At 43.2% G+C, this 20,453-nt stretch overlaps 1 protein-coding gene and 1 pseudogene across 10 annotated transcripts in view, besides 1 other annotated feature; one reads left to right on the forward strand and one right to left on the reverse strand.

Annotated features, from left to right (window-relative positions):
• The window catches only part of AK7 (adenylate kinase 7), a 97,300-nt gene that overhangs the window by 27,330 nt on the left and 49,517 nt on the right, over positions 1–20,453 (forward strand). For all 10 annotated transcript variants that reach the window (XM_006720021.3, NM_152327.5, NM_001350888.2 and 7 more), the window contains exons 5-6: positions 1,365–1,475; positions 18,378–18,458. In XM_006720021.3, coding sequence (XP_006720084.1) covers positions 1,365–1,475; positions 18,378–18,458 — 192 coding nt within the window. The remainder of the gene's footprint in view (positions 1–1,364; positions 1,476–18,377; positions 18,459–20,453) is intronic.
• PEBP1P1 (phosphatidylethanolamine binding protein 1 pseudogene 1) lies at positions 3,471–4,840 on the reverse strand (annotated as a pseudogene).
• Positions 7,867–7,986: an enhancer, noted in NCBI's record as "active region_8986". NCBI's record gives its function as "activates an Ori minimal core promoter by ATAC-STARR-seq in GM12878 lymphoblastoid cells {active_cell/tissue: GM12878}" and the evidence as "EXISTENCE:reporter gene assay evidence [ECO:0000049][PMID:35858748]".

The raw sequence follows: 20,453 nt of genomic DNA on the forward strand, positions 1-20,453 counted from the left end.
TGTTTCTACAAAAAAATAAAATAAATGAGCTGGGCATGGAGGTGTGTGCCTATATAGTCCCAGCTACTTGGGAGGCTAAGGCAGGAGGATCACTTGAATCCAGGATTTCAAGGCTGCAGTAAGCTATGATCAGGCCACTGCACTCCAGCCTGGGCAAGAGAGCAAGGCCCTGTCTCTACCAAAAAAAAATTATATTTAATATTAATACCTTTATGGAATCTCAGTGGCAACCTGCTACCATCTCTGTGAAAGACTTTTAGTTTTTAATTTTGTTTAGATTAAATTTAAATTATAAAATTTGTCTCCTAAAGCATTTTTTTTTCTTTCTTTTCTTTTTTTTTTTTTTTTGAGACAAAGTCTTGGTCTTCTCCCCCAGGCTGGAGTGCAATGGCGCGATTTCGGCTCACTGCAACATCCGCCTCCTGGGTTCAAGCAATTCTCCTGCCTCAGCCTCCCGAGTAGCTGGGATTACAGGTGCCTGCCACCACACCTGGCTAATTTTTGTATTTTTAGCAGAGACGGGGTTTCATCATGTTAGCCAGGCTGGTCTCGTGCCTGCCACCACGCCTGGCTAATTTTCATATTTTTAGTAGAGACGGGGTTTCATCATGTTAGCCAGGCTGGTCTCGAACTCCAGACGTCAGGTAATCCGCCCACCTTGGCCTCCCAAAGTGCTGGGATTACAGGCATGAGCCACTGCGCCTGGCCTCCTAAAGCATTTTTAAGAAGAGTAAATCACTATTCAAATAAGTGGTATGGTTGGATGTGGTGGTTCACGCCTGTAATCCCAGCACTTTGGGAGGCTGAGGTGGGCAGATCACCTGAGGTCAGGAGTTCCATACCAGCCTGGCCAACATGGCAAAAACCTGTCTACTAAAAATACAAAAATTAGCCAGGTGTGGTGGCACGCACCTGTAATCTCAGCTACTTGGGAGGCTGAGGCAGGAGAATCACTTGAACCTGGGAGGTGGAGGTTGCAGTGAGCCAGGATTGTGCCACTGTACTCCATCCAGTCTAGGAGGATGCTACTATCATCATCGACAGAGAAAGACTCCATCTCAAATAAAAATGAAATGAAATGAAATATAATAAAATAAAATAAAATAAAATAAGCAGTATGGCCAGACTCGGTGGTTCATGCCTATAATCCCAGCACTTTGGAAGGCCGAGGCAGGAGGATTGCTTGAGCCCAAGAGTTCAAGACCAGCCTGGGCAACACAGCGAGACCCTGTCTCAAAAATAAAAAAATAAATCAAGCGGTAGTTTTAAGCTTTATTTGAGCTTAAAGGAACATATCTTTAGCCTTAGAAGTCACACATCTCTAATTCACCAAGTCTGTACCTTTTCTTTCTTTCTTATAATAGGAGGATTCTGAGGTTCCATTCACTGAAGAAGATTATCGAAGAAGAAAGTCTCATCCTAATTTTCTGGACCACATAAATGCTGAAAAAATGGTTCTCAAATTTGGAAAAAAGGTAAGTCTGGCATAGTGGAACATGGACATCATCTGAAGTCTTTAAACATCTCTTTGTGTGGTTTCCTGAGACTTACCCCACGGATGTCTGAGCTTTAGGCTCACCCCAGGATACACTGTCCTTAGGGGTCCTGGCCCAGGTTCTGGTCCAGCACACTGGGTTGAAAGCCCTGCATCACCACCCAGCCGAGCTTGAGCCATCACCCACAAAGGGGTCTGTGTGTCTGAAAAGCTGTTTGGCCCAAAAGAGGCAAATAACTCAGAGTTGTAATGGGGAACAGGGGAACCACATTTTCCCTGTTCCCAGAATCTATCTCATTTGTTTCTTAAAACAACTCTGAAAAGTGCCTATTAACCTCCTCTTATGAATAAGGAGATGGGAGCTTCCAGAGGTTAAATAATTTGCCCAAGGTCACATAACTAGGATTTACTGAGCACTGTCCTGAGCGCTTCTCAGCCTTGACTCATCTACTCCTTCTAACAAGGCTGTTATCTACGCACATTGATGTCCTCAGCGCATTTCCTGGCGTGGAGCTGAGATTCAGTCTGAGAGCCATCAGCCACCAAAGCCTGCTGGGTTCGCTTTTTTTCTTTGGAATCCAAAACCCCATCATTCAATAGAATTTATCTTGACACATCCTTGGTCACTCACTGGTCATTAAGACATTCTCGTAGCTTTTTTTTTTTTTTTTGAGATGGAGTCTCGCTCTGTCACCCAGGCTGGAGTGCAGTGGTGCGATCTTGGCTCACTGCAACCTCTGCCTCCTGGGTTCAAATCATTCTCCTGCCTCAGCCTCCCGGGTAGCTGGGACTACAGGCACGTGCCACCATGCTCGGCTAATTTTTTGTATTTTTAGTAGAGTCAGAGTTCCACCATGTTAGCCAGGATGGTCTCGATCTCCTGAACTCGTGATCCGCCCGCCTGGAACTCCCAAAGTGTTGGGATTACGGGCATGAGCCACTGTGCCCGGCCCCTTCTGTTGCAGCTATTGCAGTATCTGGCCAGCAGCCCGCAATGCAAAGGGGCTATCTCTTTGTTCCCAGGCGGATTGGCAGGTTGAGAAATAATAGACACACACAAGATAGTGAAAGCTGGGTCCAGGGGGGTCACCGCCTTCTGGTCCCGTGGTGCCAACAATGCACTGGATATACCAGCATTTATTATTAAGTTTAGTGAGGGCAGGGATAGGTTAGTGAGGGATTTAGGGTCATTTGATTATGAGGTGAGATGGTCACATGGGGATGAAGTAATTCTTTAACATAACATCTGTATGCAGAAGTACAGTATACAGGGATAAGAATTTACAATATAGTGTGTGCATCAGTAATTTCTAACAGAGCCTTAAAACAGAAACACAGTCTTTCCATAACCTATGATTAGCAAGGTATTAATCAGCAGTAACAGTTGCAGCCAAAGCTGGTTACAAACAATCCATAGATAGGAGACATGAAGCTAGACAACTGGTTAGACCAGAAATTCTCAGAAGGGAGTATGCCTTAACCCTGAAGAGGCCTAGAAGAGCCATGGCAAGATGAGGGTGTTTATAGTCCTATCTTATCCATATGGACAGGCGCCCCTCATGTGTCCATTTATAGGCTCCCCACAAGGGTCGCATTCCATTCCCAGAGCTATGAACATCTGCTTTTCTGGGATAGGAATCTTGGTGATGTGAAACCTCCCTGACTGCACTTCCATTCATAGGCTCTCTGCAGGGGGAAGCACATCACGCGCTGTTGGCTCATTCTGGCAGCCCAACCTGGCATTGTCTTTACACAATTCTGCATGCAATTTTGTATTTACAATAGTCAGGAGCATTTCATCTTTTATTCTGTAGCAATAGTTTCAGGGGGTCGCCCTATAGCAGCAAAATTCATCATTTTGACATGTCCATTATAAAATTATTTTATTTCTCTTGCCTTTCTTCAGAATAGATGATGGGAATGCCCTGACAATGAATAAGTAGTGACAGCTGAAAAATTATGATGATGATGATTTTTCATTCAGGGTTTTTATTTTTATTCAACTATCAGCAAACAGCAGAATTAACACAACATTCAGCAACTCCAGACCAGCTTTTCTTACCCCCATGAAGAGCAATCAATTTGACAGACACAGATGTAGGGATTCCTGATAAGCGGTCAGCTAGTACTGCTGCCCATCTACAGGGCCATGCCCCAACAACAGCAAAGCCACTCTCCCTACTCCTTTTTCCAGGATTGCTCTTTAAAGGGACCAGAGTGAGATACTGACGCCTATTAAGGCAACTGAGAGGCCCGTGTTGGGGCTGAGCCTCATTGCGAGCCTCTGGTTGTCTAGCGATGGTGCCATAAAAACACACTGCTACAGTTCTGGTCTCAGGATCACAAAGGCAGAGGCAACCAATCCTTATTTATTTATTTTTAACCTCCCTTAAAGATTCTTTGATGCTTTGCTCTATTACTGTAGACCTGGTCTATTTCTGCCAAATTTTTTCTTTAAATTCTGGGTTGCTATTTTCATAATAACAATTTGATGACCCCATCACAATACCAAAATATCCCCCAAAATGAAGTTCAAAATTGATCAAAACATAAAACAGAGTGAGTGACTAGAATGATAAAGGCCAGGCAGCAGGAAAAGTCACCCTAAGCCACCATCTCAGTGCTCAGGTCTTGTCTGTCCAAAGGGGAGTGGGAAGAGGAGAAAGCTATGGTACATGCAGCACTGAACTGGAGAACACAGCTCGGGGCCTCCAGGACGGTTCAGGTCGCCGAGCTGCCCCCTACTTCCCAGACAGCTGCTCCTACAATTTGGGCACATAGTCGTCCCACTCGGCCTGGTAACACGTGCCGGCCACCGGGACCCCGAGCGCGTACTTTTTACGGGGGGACGCCACCTTGAATTTGCCACGGTGGTCTCCGGAGCGGTTGCTGAGGATGGGCTCGTCACATTTCAGCGGCCTGTGCCTTGGGAGACCCCGAGCCCACATAATCCGGAGAGGACTGTGCCACTGCTGATGTCACTGCCCTTCATGTGGACCACCAGGAAATGATGCCATTCCCTGTATTGGGGATCCTTCCTGCTTGGAGCATCCGGGTCTGTCAAGACCCAGGTGTAGAGTTTCCCTAAATCAAGACCATCCCACGAAATGCTGGTGGGTCTGTTCTTCACCTGGGTGGGATCGGGCACGGTGCTCCGCTCGTCCACCGCCACCCCGTGCAGGTGACATGCAGCGGGTGCTGCGGCTGTTCGTCCACTTCCTGAAGGCTCCAGGGCCCGGACCGCTGTCTGAGGTTCACCCGCGTGGCGGGGCCGAGCGGAGCGCGCAGCCGGGAGTGCCGCGGGAGGCCAGGCGCCGGCGGCAGCGGCGACACGGGGGTCTCCGCCAGCTGAAAAATTACAGAGGGCTTACTGTGTTCTCAGTATTTTACTCATGGTATCTTATGTCATCTGTGTTTTACTCGTAGTATCTCATGAGTTCTCAGTGTTTTACTCATGGTATCTCATGTCATCTTCAAGAGTCTCATAAACAATTCCCAGAATTCTGTGAGGTAGGTACTACTATCATCCTCATATAACTTGGAGAAAACCCCAAACCCTCTGAAAGTGTCATTACATTGTTCCCATTAGTGGAAGACCAGCGCTAAGTGAACGCTAATAATAGTTCTAAGATGACACCTAGTGGTCTCGGAGGATATTACCATAGGAACTTCGGTCCTATAAAAAACACTTTACCAATACAAACACTGTGAGCATCAAACATTGGAAGAAACAACAGGAAATTAGGAATTCTAGCCCTTTTTCTGTCCATTAACTTATGACCTTAGCCGTGTTATTAAACTTCTGGGCTTAAAATAAGTAAACGGGCTAGATTAGATGGTTTAAATTTATTCCAGTTCTAAATTCCATAACTATGTTATTTTATTGGAACCCGTGATTTCTTGATCATTTATGTTTAATTTACAGGTGGAAAATGTATGCTTACACATATAAAGCTGATTTAACTGAATAACAGTCTAAAATGAGAAATATGATCATATTAATATATTTTTATTACAAAACCTTACACTTGTCATTTAAATAATAAAATCAAAATTTCGTTGTAAAAATCTATTATTTTTATCCCCAACTTTCTTACTCACTCTTTTCTACACCATTAATAAGATTGATTTGGCCAATTTGGTCATCCCAATGATCTTTTTTGATCAGTGATGCTAATGTTTTTATCTGGGAGATAGACCCTTGAAAATAATCATTTAACACATTCATTTAACTAATGTCCAGTTAGATCCGATTATGGCCCAGGCACTGTGATGAGGAGCTGCCCTCACAGCCATCGATAAAGCAAACACAGTCTATGCACTCCAGAGGCTGGTTGTCAAGTGGTTTATCTACTGTTATCACATCCTCAGCCAGCACATTCATATACAAGATTACATACACAAAAGGTAGACTTCTATTCAGTATTTTGAGGCAAAAGAGGAGACCCTAATAATTATACAAGTTGCCAAAATAGTCCTGAATTGCCTGATACCAAAATTGCTTTCATCTTTTAATGAGTCACACTGATTTTTTTTTTTTTTTTTTTTGAGACAGAGTCTTGCTCTGTTGCGTAGGCTGGAGTGCAGTGGCATGATCTCGGGTCACTGCAACCCCTGCCTCCCAAGTTCAAATGACTCTCCTGCCTCAGCCTCCTGAGTAGCTGGAATTACAGGCATGTGCCACCACGCCTGGCTAAATTTTGTATTTTTTAGTAGAGACAGGGTTTCACCATGCTGGCCAGGCTGGTCTTGAACTCCTGACCTCAGGTGATTCACCTGCCTCGGCCTCCCAAAGTGCTGGGGTTACAGGTGTGAGCCACCGTGCCCAGCCGTAGTTTGTCTTGAAAACTATTTTGTCTGATATAAGTATAGTGACTCCTGCTTCTTTTTGGTTTCCATTGGCATGGAATATCTTTTTCCATCCCTTTATTTTCAGTCTATGTGTGTCTTTACAGGTAGAGTGTGTTTCTTGTAGGCAACAGATCAATGTGTCTTGTTTTTTTCATCAATTCAGCCAGTCTATGTCTTTTGATTAGAGAATTTAGTCCACTTACATTCAATGTTATTATTGGTAAGTAAGGACTTACTCCTGCCTTTTGTTATTTGTTTTCTAGTTGTTTTATTGTCTTATCTTCCTTCTTTCTTTCCTTCCTACCTTGCTGTAGGGATGGTGATTTTCTCTGGTGATATGATTTAGTTTCTTGCTTTTTATTTTTTGTGCAACCATTGTAAGTTTTTTAGTTTGAGGTTACAATAAGGCTTGCAAATACTATCTTATAACCCATTATTTTAGTCGGATAACAATCTAACCCTCTTGGCATAAAGAAACCAGCAAAAAGAAAACTAATAACACTATGCCTTACTCCCATCCCCCAATTTTTAAACTTTTTGATGTTTCTATTTATATCTTATTGTACTGTGTCATAAAAAGCTGTTGTAGTTATTATTTTTTTTGGTTCATTGTATAGTCTTCCTACTTAGAATGAGATAGTTTACACACCACCGTTAAAGTGTTCTAATATTTTGTTTTTCTGTGTACTTCCTATTACCAGTGAGTTTTGTACCTTCAGGTGATTATTGTTCATTAATGTCTTTTTCTTTCTGACTGAAGTACTCCCTTTAGTGTTTCTTGTAGGACAGGTCTGGTATTGATGAAATCCTTCAGCTTTTGTTTGTCTGGGAAAGTATTTCTCCTCCATGCTTGAAGGAGATTTTCACCAGATATACTATTCTAGGTGAAAGTTTTTTTCCCTCAGCACTTTTCAATATGTCATGCCACTCTTTCCTGGCCTGTAAGGTTTTCCACTGAAAAGTCTGCTGCTAGATGTATTAGAGCTCCATTGTATGTTATTTGTTTCTTTTCTCTTGCTGCTTTTTGGATCCTTTTTTAATCCTTTACCTTTGCAAGTTTGATTATTATATGCCTATAGGTTGTCTTGTGTATTAGTCCATTTTCGCACTGCTATAAAGAACTAACTGAGACTGGGTAATTTATAAAGAAAAGAGGTTTAGGCCGGGTGTGGTGGCTCACGCCTGTAATCCCAGCACTTTGGGAGGTGGAGGCGGGCAGATCACCTGAGGTTGGAAGTTTGAGACCTGCCTGGCCAACATGGAGAAACCCCGTCTCTACTGAAAATACAAAATTAGCCAGGCGTGGTAGTGCATGCCTGTAATCCCAGCTACTCGGGAGGCTGAGGCAGGAGAATCGTTTGAACCTGGAAGGCAGAGGTTGCAGTGAGCTGAGATCACTCCATTGCACTCCAGCCTGGGCAACAAGAGCGAAACTCCGTCTCAAAAACAAACAAAAAAAAATTGGTTTAATTGACTCACAGCACAGTTCCACAGGCTGTACAGGAAGCATGTTTGGGGAGGCCTCAGGAAACTTACAACCATGGCAGAAGATAAAGGGGAAGCAGACACATATTACATGGCCTGAGAAGGAGGAAGAGAGAGTGAAGGGGCAGCTGCTACACACTTTTATAAACAACCAGAACTCATGAGAACTCACTCACTATTACAAGAACGGCAAGGGGTAAATATGGCTCCATGAGCCAATCACTTCCCACAAGGCCCCTCTTCCAACATTGGAGATTACAATTCGACGTGAGATTTGGGTGGGAACACAGACCCAAGCCATATCATGTTGTTTGAGTCAAATCTGCATACTGTTCTGTAACCTTCTTGTACTTGGATTGTTGATATCTTTCTCTAGATTTGAGAAGTTCTCCACTATTGTCCCTTTGAATAAACTGTCTACACCTATCTCTTACTCGACTTCCTCTTTAAGGCCAATAACTCTTAGAGGTGCCCTTTTGAGGCTATTTTCTAGATCCTATAGGCATGTTTCATTGTTTTTCTTTTTTTGTCTCCTCTGACTATATATATATATTTCTGCCAAAAACATATGGTTTTATTTATACTCAGAAACAAGTAGATCATGCACATATATATGAAGATAAAAATTAAAGGGATAATTGCATAAGTTTGCCTGTAGAGAGCTTTGAAAACCTGTTTACTCTTTTTTTTATTATTTTAAGTTCTAGGGTACATGTGCACAATGGGCAGGTTTGTTACATATGTATACATGTCCCATGTTGGTTTGCTGCACCCATTAATTCGTCATTTACATTAGGTATTTCTCCTAATGCTATCCTTCCCCCATCCCCCCACCTTACGACAGGCCTCAGTGTGTGATGTTCCCCACCCTGTGTCCAAGTGTTCTCATTGTTCAATTCCCACTTATGAGTGAGAACATGTGGTGTTTGGTTTTCTGTCCTTGCAATAGTTTGCTCAGAATGATGGTTTCCAGCTTCATCCATGTCCCTACAAAGGACATGAACTCATCCTTTTTTATGGCTGCATAGTATTCCATGGTGTATATGTGCCACATTTTCTTAATCCAGTTTATCATTGATGGACATTTGAGTTGGTTCCGAGTCTTTGCTATTGTAGATAGTGCCGCAGTAAACATATGTGTGCATGTGTCTTTATAGCAGCATGATTTATAATCCTTTGGGTATATACCCAGTAATGGAATGGCTGGGTCAAATGCTATTTCTAGTTCTAGATCCTTGAGGAATCGCCACACTGTCTTCCACAATGGTTGAACTAGTTTGCAGTCCCACCAACAGTGTAAAAGTGTTCCTATTTCTCCACATCCTCTCCAGCACCGTTGTTTCCTGACTTTTTAATGATTGCCATTCTAACTGGTGTGAGATGGTATCTCATTGTGGTTTTGATTTGCATTTCTCTGATGGCCAGTGATGATGAGCATTTTTTCATGTGTCCATTGGCTACATAAATGTCTTCTTTTGTAAAGTGTCTGTTCATATCCTTCGCCCACTTTTTGATGGGGTTGTTTGATTTTTTCTTGTAAATTTGTTTGAGTTCTTTGTAGATTCTGGATATTAGCCCTTTGTCAGATGGGTAGATTACAAAAATTTTCTTCCATTCCGTAGGTTGCCTGTTCACTCTGATGGCGGTTTATTTTGCTGTGCAGAAGCTCTTTAGTTTAGTTAGATCCCATTTGTCTATTTTGGCTTCTGTTGCCATTGCTTTTGGTATTTTAATCAGGAAGTCCTTGCCCATGCCTCTGTCCTGAATGGTATTGCCTAGGTTTTCTTCTGGGGTTTTTATGGTTTTAGATTTAACATTTAAGTCTTTAATTCATTTGAATTAATTTTTGTATAAGGTGTAAGGAAGGGATCCAGTTTCAGCTTTTAGATATGGCTAGCCAGTTTTCCCAGCACTGTTTATTAAATAGGGAATCCTTTCCCCTTTTCTTGTTTTTCTCAGGTTTGTCAAAGATCAGATGGTTGTAGATGTGTGGTGTTATTTCTGAGGCCTCTGTTCTGTTCCATTGGTCTATATATCTGTTTTGGTACCAGTACCATGCTGTTTTGGTTACTGTAGCCTCATAGTATAGTTTGAAGTCAGGTAGCATGATGCCTCCAGCTTTGTTCTTTTTGCTTACGATTGTCTTGGCAATGCGGGCTCTTTTTTGGTTCCGTATGAACTTTAAAGTATTTTTTTCCAATTCTGTGAGGAAAGTCATTGGTAGATTGATGGGGATGGCATTGAATCTATAAATTACCTTGGGCAGTATGGCCATTTTCATGATATTGATTCTTCCTGTCCATGAGCATGGAATGTTCTTCCAATTTTTTGTGTCCTCTTTTATTTCGTTGAGCAGTGGTTTGTAGTTCTCCTTGAAGAAGTCCTTCACATCCCTTGTAAGTTGGATTCCTAGGTATTTTATTCTCTTTGAAGCAATTCCAAATGAGAGTTCACTCATGATTTGGCTCTCTGTTTGTCTGTTATTGGTGTATAGGAATGCTTGTGATTTTTGCACATTGATTTTGTATCCTGAGACTTTGCTGAAGTTGCTTATCAGCTTAAGGAGATTTTGGGCTGAGACAATGGGGTTTTCTAAATATATAATCATGTCATCTGCAAACAGGGACAATTTGACTTCCTCTTTTCCTAATTGAATACCCTTTATTTCTTTCTCTTGCCTGATTGCCCTGGTCAGAACTTCCAACACTACGTCAAATAGGAGTGGTGAGAGAGGGCATCCCTGTCTTGTGCCAGTTTTCAAAGGGAATGCTTCCAGTTTTTGCCCATTCAGTATGATATTGGCTGTGGGTTTGTCATAAATAGCTCTTATTATTTTGAGATACGTTCCATCAATACCTAGTTTATTAAAAGTTTTTAGCAAGAAGGGCTGTTGAATTTTTTTTTTTTTTTTTTTTGAGACGGAGTCTCACTCTGTCACCCAGGCTGGAGTGCAGTGGTGCTATCTCGGCTCACTGCAAGCTCCGCCTCCTGGGTTCATGCCATTCTCCTGCCTCAGCCTCCCGAGTAGCTGGGACTACAGGCGCCCGCCACTACGCCTGGCTAATTTTTTGTATTTTTAGTAGAGACGGGGTTTCACTGTGTTAGCCAGGATGGTCTCAATAATCTCCTGACCTCGTGATCCGCCCACCTCTGTCTCCCAAAGTGCTGGGATTACAGGTGTGAGCCACCACGCCTGGCCAGGGCTGTTGAATTTTGTCGAAGGCCTTTTCTGCATCTATTGAGATAATCATGTGGTTTTTGTCTTTGGTTCTGTTTATGTGATGGATTACGTTTATTGATTTGTGTATGTTGAACCAGCCTTGCATCCCAGGGATGAAGCCCACTTGATCATGGTGGATAAGCTTTTTGATGTGCTGCTGGATTTGGTTTGCCAGTATTTTATTTTCATATCGATGTTCATCAGGGATATTGGTCTAAAATTCTCTTGTTTTTGTTGTGTCTCTGCCAGGCTTTGTTATCAGGATGATGCTAGCCTCATAAAATGAGTTAGGGAGGATTTCCTTTTTTTCTATTGATTGGATTCGTTTCAGAAGGCATGGTACCAGCTCCTCTTTGTACCTCTGGTAGAATTCAGCTGTGAATCCGTCTGGTCCTGGACTATTTTTGGTTGGTAGACTATTAATTATTGCCTCAATTTCAGAGCCTGTTATTGGTCTATTCAGGGATTCAACATCTCCCTGGTTTAGTCTTGGGAGGGTGTATGTGTCCAGGAATTTATCCATTTCTTCTAGTTTATTTGTGTAGAGGTGTTTATTCTCTGGTGGTAGTTTGCATTTTTGTGGGATCGGTGGCAATATCCCCTTTGTCATTTTTATTGCATCTATTTGATTCTTCTCTCTTTTCTTCTTTATTAATCTTGCTAGCGGTCTATCTCTTTTGTTGATCTTTTCAAAAAACCAGATCCTGGATTCACTGATTTTTTGAAGGGTTTTTTTGTGTCTCTGTCTCCTTCAGTTCTGCTCTAATCTTAGTTGTTTCTTGTCTTCTGCTAGCTTTTGAATTTGTTTGCTCTTGCTTCTCTAGTTCTTTCAATTGTGATGTTAGGGTGTCAATTTTAGATCTTTTCTGCTTTCTCTTGTGGGTATTTAGTGCTATAAATTTCCCTCTACACACTGCTTTGAATGTGTCCCAGAGATTCTGGTACGTTGTGTCTTTGTTCTCATTGATTTCAAAGAACATCTTTATTTATGCCTTCGTTTCGTTATTTACCCAGTAGTCATTCAGGAGCAGGTTGTTCAGTTGCCATGTTATGCGGTTTTGAGTGAGTTTCTTAACCCTGCGTTTTCATTTGATTGCACTGTGGTCTGAGAGACAGTTTTTTGTGATTTTTGTTCTTTACTATTTGCTGAGGAGTGCTTTACTTCCAACTATGTGGTCAATTTTGGAATAAGTGCAATGTGGTGCTAAGAAGAATGTATACTCTTTTGATTTGTTTGTGGAGAGTTCTGTAGATGTCTAGTATGTCTGCTTGGTGCAGAGCTGAGTTCAAGTCCTGGATATCCTTGTTAACCTTCTGTCTCATTGATGTGTCTAATATTGACAGTGGGGTGTTAAAGCCTCCCATTATTATTGTGTAGGAGTCTAAGTCTCTTTGTAGTCTCTAAGGACTTGCTTTATGAATCTGGGTGCTCCTGTATTGGGTGCATATATATTTAGGATAGTTAGCTCTTCTTGTTGAATTGATCTCTTTACCATTATGTAATGGCCTTCTTTGTCTCTTTTGATCTTTGTTGATTTAAAGTCTGTTTTATCAGTACAATTTGACTTCCTCTTTTCCTAATTGAATACCTTTTATTTCTTTCTCTTGCCGGATTGGCCAGAACTTCCTATGCTCCGTTGAATAGGAGTGATGAGAGAGGTAATCCTCTCTCTCCCCAGGATTGCAACCCCTGCTTTTTTTTTTTTTTTTTTTTGCTTTCCATTTGCTTGGTAGATCTTCCTCCAGCCGTTTATTTTGAGCCTATGTGTGTCTCTGCACATGAGATGGGTCCCCTGAATACAGCACACTGATGGGTCTTGACTCCTTATCCAATTTGCCAGTCTGTGTCTTTTAATTGGGGCATTTAGCCCATTTGCATTTAAGGTTAATATTGTTATGTGTGAATTTGATCCTGTCATTATGATGTTAGCTGGTTATTTTGCCCATTAGTTCATGCAGTTTCTTCCTAGCATCGATGGTCTTTACAATTTGGCATGTTTTTGCAGTGGCTGTTAGCGGTTTTTCCTTTCCATGTTTAGGGCTTCCTTGAGCCCTTGTAAGGCAGGCCTGGTGGTGACAAAGTCTCTCAGCATTTGCTTGTCTGTAAAGGATTTTATTTCTCCTTCACTTACGAAGCTTAGTTTGGCTGGATATGAAATTCTGGGTTGAAAATTCTTTTCTTTAAGAATGTTGAGGCCAGGCGCGGTGGCTCATGCCTGTAATCCCAGCACTTTGGGAGCCCACGGCAGGCAGATCACAAGGTCAGGAGAATGAGACCATCCTGGCTAACACAGTGAAACCCTATCTCTACTAAAAATACAAAAAAAAAAAAAAAAATAGCCGGGCATGTTGGCAGGCGCCTGTAGTCCCAGCTACTCGGGAGGCTGAGGCAGGAGAATGGTGTGAACCTGGGAGGCGGAGCTTGCAGTGAGCTGAGATCACGCCACTGCACTCCAGTCTGGGCGACAGAATGATGTTGAATATTGGCCCCCACTCTCTTCTGCCTTGTAGAGTTTCTGCCGAGAGGTCTGCTGTTAGTCTGATGGGCTTCCCTTTGTGGGTAACTCGACCTTTCTCTCTGGCTGCCCTTAACATTTTTTCCTTCATTTCAATCTTGGTGAATTTGACAATTATTTGTCTTGGGATTCCTCTTCTCGAGGAGTATCTTTGTGGTGTTCTCTGTATTTCCTGAATTTGAATGTTGGCCTGCCTTGCTAGGTTGGGGAAGTTCTCCTGGATAATATCCTGAAGAGTGTTTTCCAGTTTGGTTCCATTCTCCTCATCACTTTCAGGTACGCCAATCAAACATAGATTTGGTCTTTTCACATAGTCCAATATTTCTTGGAGGCTTTGTTCATTTCTTTTTACTCTTTTTTCTCTAAACTTCTCTTCTCACTTCATTTCATTAATCTGACCTTCAATCACTGATACCCTTTCTTCCACTTGATCAAATCAGCTACTGAAGCTTGTGCATGCATCATGAAGTTCTCGTGCCATGGTTTTCAGCTCCTTCAGGTCATTTAAGGTCTTCTCTACACTGTTTATTCTAGTTAGCCATTCATCTAATCTTTTTTCAAGGTTTTTAGCTTCCTTGCGATGTGTTCGAACATCCTCCTTTAGCTCGGAGAAGTTTGTTATTACCGACCTTCTGAAGCCTACTTCTGTCAACTCGTCAAAGTCATTCTCCGTCCAGCTTTGTTCTGTTGCTGGCAAGGAGCTGCGATCCTTTGGAGAAGAAGAGGTGCTCTGTTTTTTTCCTCTGACTGTATTTTTTAATAGGGGGTTTTCAAGCTCATTCTTTCTTCTTTGATCAATTTTGTTATTAAAGGACTCTGATTCATTCTTCAGTATGGCAATTGCATTTTTCAGCTCCGGAGTTTCTGCTTGATTTTTAAAAATTATTTCAATCTCTTTGTTAAATTCATCCGATGGAATTCTGAATTCCTTCTCTGTGTTTTCTTGATTTTCTTTGAGTTTCCTCAATATAGCTATTTTGAATTCTCTGTCTGAAAGGTCACATAGCTCTGCTTTGCCAGGATTGATCCCTGGTGCTTTATTTAGTTCATTTGGTGAGGTCATGCTTTCCCGGTTGGTGTTGATGCTAGTTGACGTTCTTCAGTATCTGGGCATTGTAGAGTTAGGTATTTATTGTTGTCTTCACCGTCTGGGCTTGTTTGTACCTGTCCCTCTTGGGAAGGCATTCCAGATATTCAAAAGGACATGGGTGTTATGATCTATGTTGTATCTGCTTTAGGGGGCACCCCAAGCCCAATAATGCTGCAATTCCTGCAGACTCATAGAGGTATCGCCTTGATAGTCTTAGACTAAATCTGGAAGAATTCTCTGGATTACCAGGCAGACTCTTGTTCTCTTCCCTTACATCTCTCCAAATATACAGTCTCTCTGTCTGTCTGTCTCTCTCTCTCTCTCTCTCTCTCTCTCTCTCTCTGTTCTAAGCCACCTAAAGCTGGGGGTGGAGTGACACAAGCAACCCTGTAGCCACCACCACTGTGACTGTGCTGGGTCAGACCTGAAGCCAGCACAGCACTGGGTCTTGCCCAAGGCCTGCTGTAACCACTCCCTGGTTACTGCCTGTGTTCACTCAGGGCTCTGGGGCTCCACAATCAGCAGGTGGCATAACCAGCCAGGTCTGTTTCCTTCCCTTCAGGGTGGCAAGGTCCCCCAGGCTCCAGGTGGGTCCAGAAGTGCCATCTGGGAGTCAGGGACTAGAGTGATAAACCTTAGAAGTCTACCTGGCGTTCTATTGTATTGCGGCTGAGCTAGCACTCACACCACAAGACGTAGTCCTTCCCAGTCTTCCCTCTTCTTTCCAAAGACAGAGGAGCCTCATCCAGTAGCCACCCCAGGCCACAAGGAGTACTGACAGACTAGTGCTGATGTTCCCTTAGGGTCCAAGATCTCTTAAGTCAGCTGGTCTTGACTGCTGCCTGGCCTGGGACTCACCCTTCAGATGGGACTCACTCTTCAGGAAAGTAGGCTCCCCTCTGGCCCAGGGCAGGTCCAGAAATGCCATTCAAGAGTCAAGTCATGGCAGGGACCCCAAGAGCCTCCTTGGTGCTCTACCTAACTTTGGCCATGCTGGCACCTAAGGTGCAAGACAAAGTCCCCTTTACTGTTCCCTCTGCTTTTCTCAAGCAGAAGGAGTTTTGGCCTGTAGTCACCACAGCTGGGAATGTGCTGAATCTCACCTGAAGCCAGAAGGCTCATCCAAGGCCCTCAACATAGTACCTGGGTATCACTGCTGGTTATTCAGGGCCCAAGGGCTCTCAAGTTAGCAGGTGATGAATGCTGCCGAGACTAGGTCCTTTCCTTCAAGGCAGCAGGTTCCTTTTCTGGCCCAGGGTGTATCTAGAAATGTGACTGAGCTGGTGTTCTAGATGCAAGACAAAGTCCCCCCTACTCTTCCCTCTCTGCTCCTCAAGCAGAAGGAAGGAGTCTCTTCGGAGCCACGAGCCATGCAGCTTGGGGTTAGAGGAGAGGTGGTACCAGTTCTTCCTTGGCTGCTCCAGCTGGTGTCTCAGTATGTTGCATGCCCTCCCCAGTCCACTGTCTCTGGGCCTCGCTCAGCACTGGAACTCACCTAGAGTTGCAGTCCTTATGGCCTGGATTGTCTTTCAAGTTTGCTTGGAGACACAGAGCGCTGTAGCCCTCGGTGGCGAGGTTTGGAGGCACTTAAATTACGACCGCTGATACCGGAGAGCCCCCTCTGACTCAGGCTGGTTTGAATGCTCCTTCCATGGGCTGGGCTGGCATCAGCTGAATTTGGTCTGGTTTTTCTTTCTGCTCTAACAGGACAGTGCTGAGTTCAATGCCTCTCAAATGCTGTGTTCTCCCTCCTGCAGCACCCAGAGATGCTCTCCTGCTGGTGAGGGTGGGTGGCTTTGGCGATTCCAAACTGTTTTTTCTGGTTCTTCAGTGCCTCTTTCAGCGATATGAAGTTAAAATAGGTACTGTGAGGGCTCACCTGATTTTTGGTTCTTATGAAGCTGTTTTTTCTGTGTAGGTAGTTATTGTTGTCCTTGCAGGGGAGATTTCCATCCCGCCATCTTGCCCTGCCTCTGGGATTATCTTTTGACTGTTTGGTAGACTTTGGTTGAAAAACTGTCTTGGACTGTGGGAAGGCAGTTAACAGGTGTTTGGGGGCAAGAAATGAGCCCTTTAGGCTAAATTTTCAAATCAATTGACAGAAAGTTGTCCTTAAGTCTGTCTTACAATTTTTAAAATCTCTATTGTATTTGTGGTTAAGTCCTCCTTTTCAGGCCTAATATTTGTGAGGTGAGATCACTACCTTCCCACAAGAGCCTGAGTAACATTCTTCCTAAAAACTCCTGTAGGCCGGGCGCAGTGGCTTACACCTGTAATCCCAGCACTTTGGGAGGCCGAGGCAGGTGAATCACTTGAGGTCAGGAGTTCAAGACCAGCCTGGCCAACATGGGGAAACCCTGTCTCTATTAAAAGTACAAAAATTACCTGGGCATGGTGGTTCTCACCTGTAATCCCAGCTACTTGGGAGGCTGAGGCAGGAGAATCACTTGAACCCAGGAGGCCAAGGTTGCAGTGAGCCTAGATTATGCCACTGCACTCCAGCCTGGGCAACAAGTGAAACTCTGTCTCAAAACAAACAAACAAACAAACAAACAAAAAACTCCTGTCTTCTTGCACCATCCCCTGTTCGCCTGAAGAAGTTCAAGCGAGTTTTCTGATTGGTGGGTTTGAGGAGGGCCTGGCCATGTGAGCTTGGCCCCTCCTCCTTCCCTTCTCTCTGGGACTCCAGGGATGGTGGCTACTGTGCATTTCACCTTCCTCATGCCCTGAGACTTACAGCAGCAGGCCGCCATGTGGAGGAGTCCCTCGCTGTCCAGTGTGGCCTGGGACTGGTTGGAAAAGTTCATCTTATTCTGGATTCAGGGTTAGGAAGCTCATCATCATGGCTCACCTAAGGCATGGCCTCCAGCAGAACTCATATCAATAATAAAGATGGTATTTTGAGCTTATCTGGTTAAATATTGAGGCAGAGAGTAGAGGCTGAGAAGGGTAGTAGGGGGTGGGGGGAGGGAGGGATAGTGAATGAGTACAAAAAATGTTGGAAAGAATGAATAAGACCTACTATTTGATAGCACAGCAGGGAGACTATAGTCAGTAATAACTGAACTATAGATTTTTAAATAACTTAAAGAGTATAATTGGAGTGTTTGTAATTCAATGGATAAATGCTTGAAGGGATGGATACCCCATTCTCCATGTTGTGCTTATTTCACATTGCATGCCTGTATCAAAACATCTCATGCACCCCCATAAATCTATATACTTATTATGTACCCACAAATATTAAAAATTAAAAATAAAGGAATACTGACTCCAGTTCTTACAGTGCCTAAACTGCTTGTCCAGAGTGAAGTGGACAATCCATGTGAATTTCCATCCTTGTGTTAAGGCCCATTACCAGCTTCTTGGTTTCAGGTACTAGATCATTAAAGATCCTCGTGGAAAGACCTGTTTTTCTTTCTCTTTTCCCCCTCAGTGCCGAGCATAGAGCTTACAGGTACAAAGTTTTCACAAAAACCCTGGCTTTAATTTAATTAGGAGTCCTTGTTAAATTTTAATAGTAGTCAGAGGTATTCCTGAATAGTGCGGGGGTGTCGTTTCTCTCTTTAAGAGATAGGATTTGTATCCCGAACAATACTCAGTAACCTGCAAGAGTTGACGGAAGTTCTGAAAGTGCTCATTTTAACTACTAAAATAATCTGGTTCAGTATGACTAATAATATTACATCCAGCTTTTTTTTTCTGTATTTTATCTAATAGGCCAGAAAATTTGCAGCATACGTAGTTGCTGCTGGACTCCAGTATGGAGCGGAAGGAGGCATGTTACACACATTTTTTAAGGTATGGCTTTCAATGATGACGTGGAATGTTTAAAAGTGTCTTACGATACAGATACGCAATTTGAAGGTGTTTTTGATTGCTTTGGGTGTGGTTAGTGCAGTAGAATAGCAGAAGATGAAGGCAAGTATGGATGTCACCACAAAGACCTACGTTTCTTTCCCATTATTAACTTGTATTCACCACTCTCAAAATAATAATGAAAAAGACGTATCTCCTTTCATTCATGAAACAGATATTGATGTAGTGCCCATCAGGTGCTGGAAACTGTTGTAGGTACTTGGGATACAGTAAAATAATAAAGTCCCTCCTCTTGCGAAGCTTACATTCTAGGGGGATGGAGAAAGAGATAGATAATAAGCAAGCCGGTAAATGTTGAGTATTTCAGATGTTGAAACAGGGTATGGAAAACAACAGAGCAGAGAAAGGCAGAGAGTGCTGGGGAGTAAGGTTGCGGGGATTGGGGCTGTTATATCTTATATAGGAAGGTTGAGGAAGGTCTTTCCAACGATGTGACATTTGAGTAGGAAGGGAAAGGCAATGAAGGAGCTGGCTAATCGGCTTTCTGGAGAAAGACATCCCAGACAGTGAGAATTGTTACTGCAAAGAAGTGAGGCAGAAATGTGCTGGCTACATTTGAAGACCAATCTAGATCAATCTAGCTGAAGTATGGGAGAACAGCGGTAATGAGGTCAAAGCGGTAATGAGAGAGTCAGACCAAGCCCAGCCTGGTAGCCCCTCGTGAAGCTCTGGCTTTCTTTCTGAGTGAGTTGGACAACCATTAGACTGAGCACAGAAGCAACATAATCCATATGATATAAAAGGACAGCTTTCTCCTTCTGCTGTGCTGAGGATGTACTATTTGGGGCATGGGCAGGAGCAGGAAGCAAGGAAACCAGTGAGCAGGGTAGTGCCTAAGACCTGGGTGGGCATGGTGGGGATACTGGAAACTGTTCAGATTTCAGACGTATTTTGAAGAGAGAGTCAATGGGATTTGTTCAAAGCTTGGATGTAAGGATGACAGAAACATAGTAAAGGATAACTTTAAGGATTTTGGTCTAAGCAACTAGAAGTATGGCACTGCCACTTATTGAAATGGGGAAGACAGGGAATGGAGCTGGTTGGGGTACAATGCAATGAAAAGTTCAGGAAGTTTGAGATAATTAATATCCAAGTATAGATACTGGGAAGGCTATTGGACAAAAAGAGTTTGGTGATCATGGGGGAGGTCAGGTCTGGAGATATAATCATGGGAGCTGTCAGTATACAGTGGGTACTTAAATCCTTGGGACTGGATGACATCAACTACTGAATGAATATGGAGAAGAGATAGGGGCCTGAGGACTGAGTCTTGGAACCCTCCAATATTGGAGGTTATAGGGAAATGGGAAGGAATTAGGAAAGGAGGTTGAGAAGGGTGGGCAGGAAGCAGGAGAGGAAATAAGAGAAAAGTAAATAATTATTAAAAAAAATATTTTTGGCCGACTCACGCCTGTAATCCCGGCACTTTGGGAGGCCAAGGCAGGCGGATCACAAGGTCAGGAGATCAAGACTATCCTGGCTAACACGGAGAAACCCCGTCTCTACTAAAAATACAAAAAATTAGCCGGGCATGGTGGCGGGAGCCTGTGGTCCCAGCTACTCGTTAGGCTGAAGTAGGAGAATGGTGTGAACCGAGGAGGCGGAGCTTGCAGTGAGCCGAAATTGCACCACTGCACTCCAGCCTGGGTGACAGAGCGAGACTCCATCTCAAAAAAAAAAAAAAAAAAGTTTTTAAAAAGAAAGAATGACAAATTGTGTCAGATACTGCAGATAATCAACTAAGATGAAACCTACAAATTGACCGCTAAATTTTTTGGCACTAGGTAGGACAAAAGTCTAACAGCCGCAGGTTCAAGAGGAACAGCTGGAGGGGAATTGAAGACAATGAGAACAGAGAAATATTTCAAGGAATTTTCCTGTAAAAGGAGGGGGGTGCAAAGAAAGAAGGCGGAGTTA

The sequence above is a fragment of the Homo sapiens genome, chromosome 14 (genome assembly GCF_000001405.40).
Source record: "Homo sapiens chromosome 14, GRCh38.p14 Primary Assembly".
NCBI lineage: Eukaryota > Metazoa > Chordata > Mammalia > Primates > Hominidae > Homo > Homo sapiens.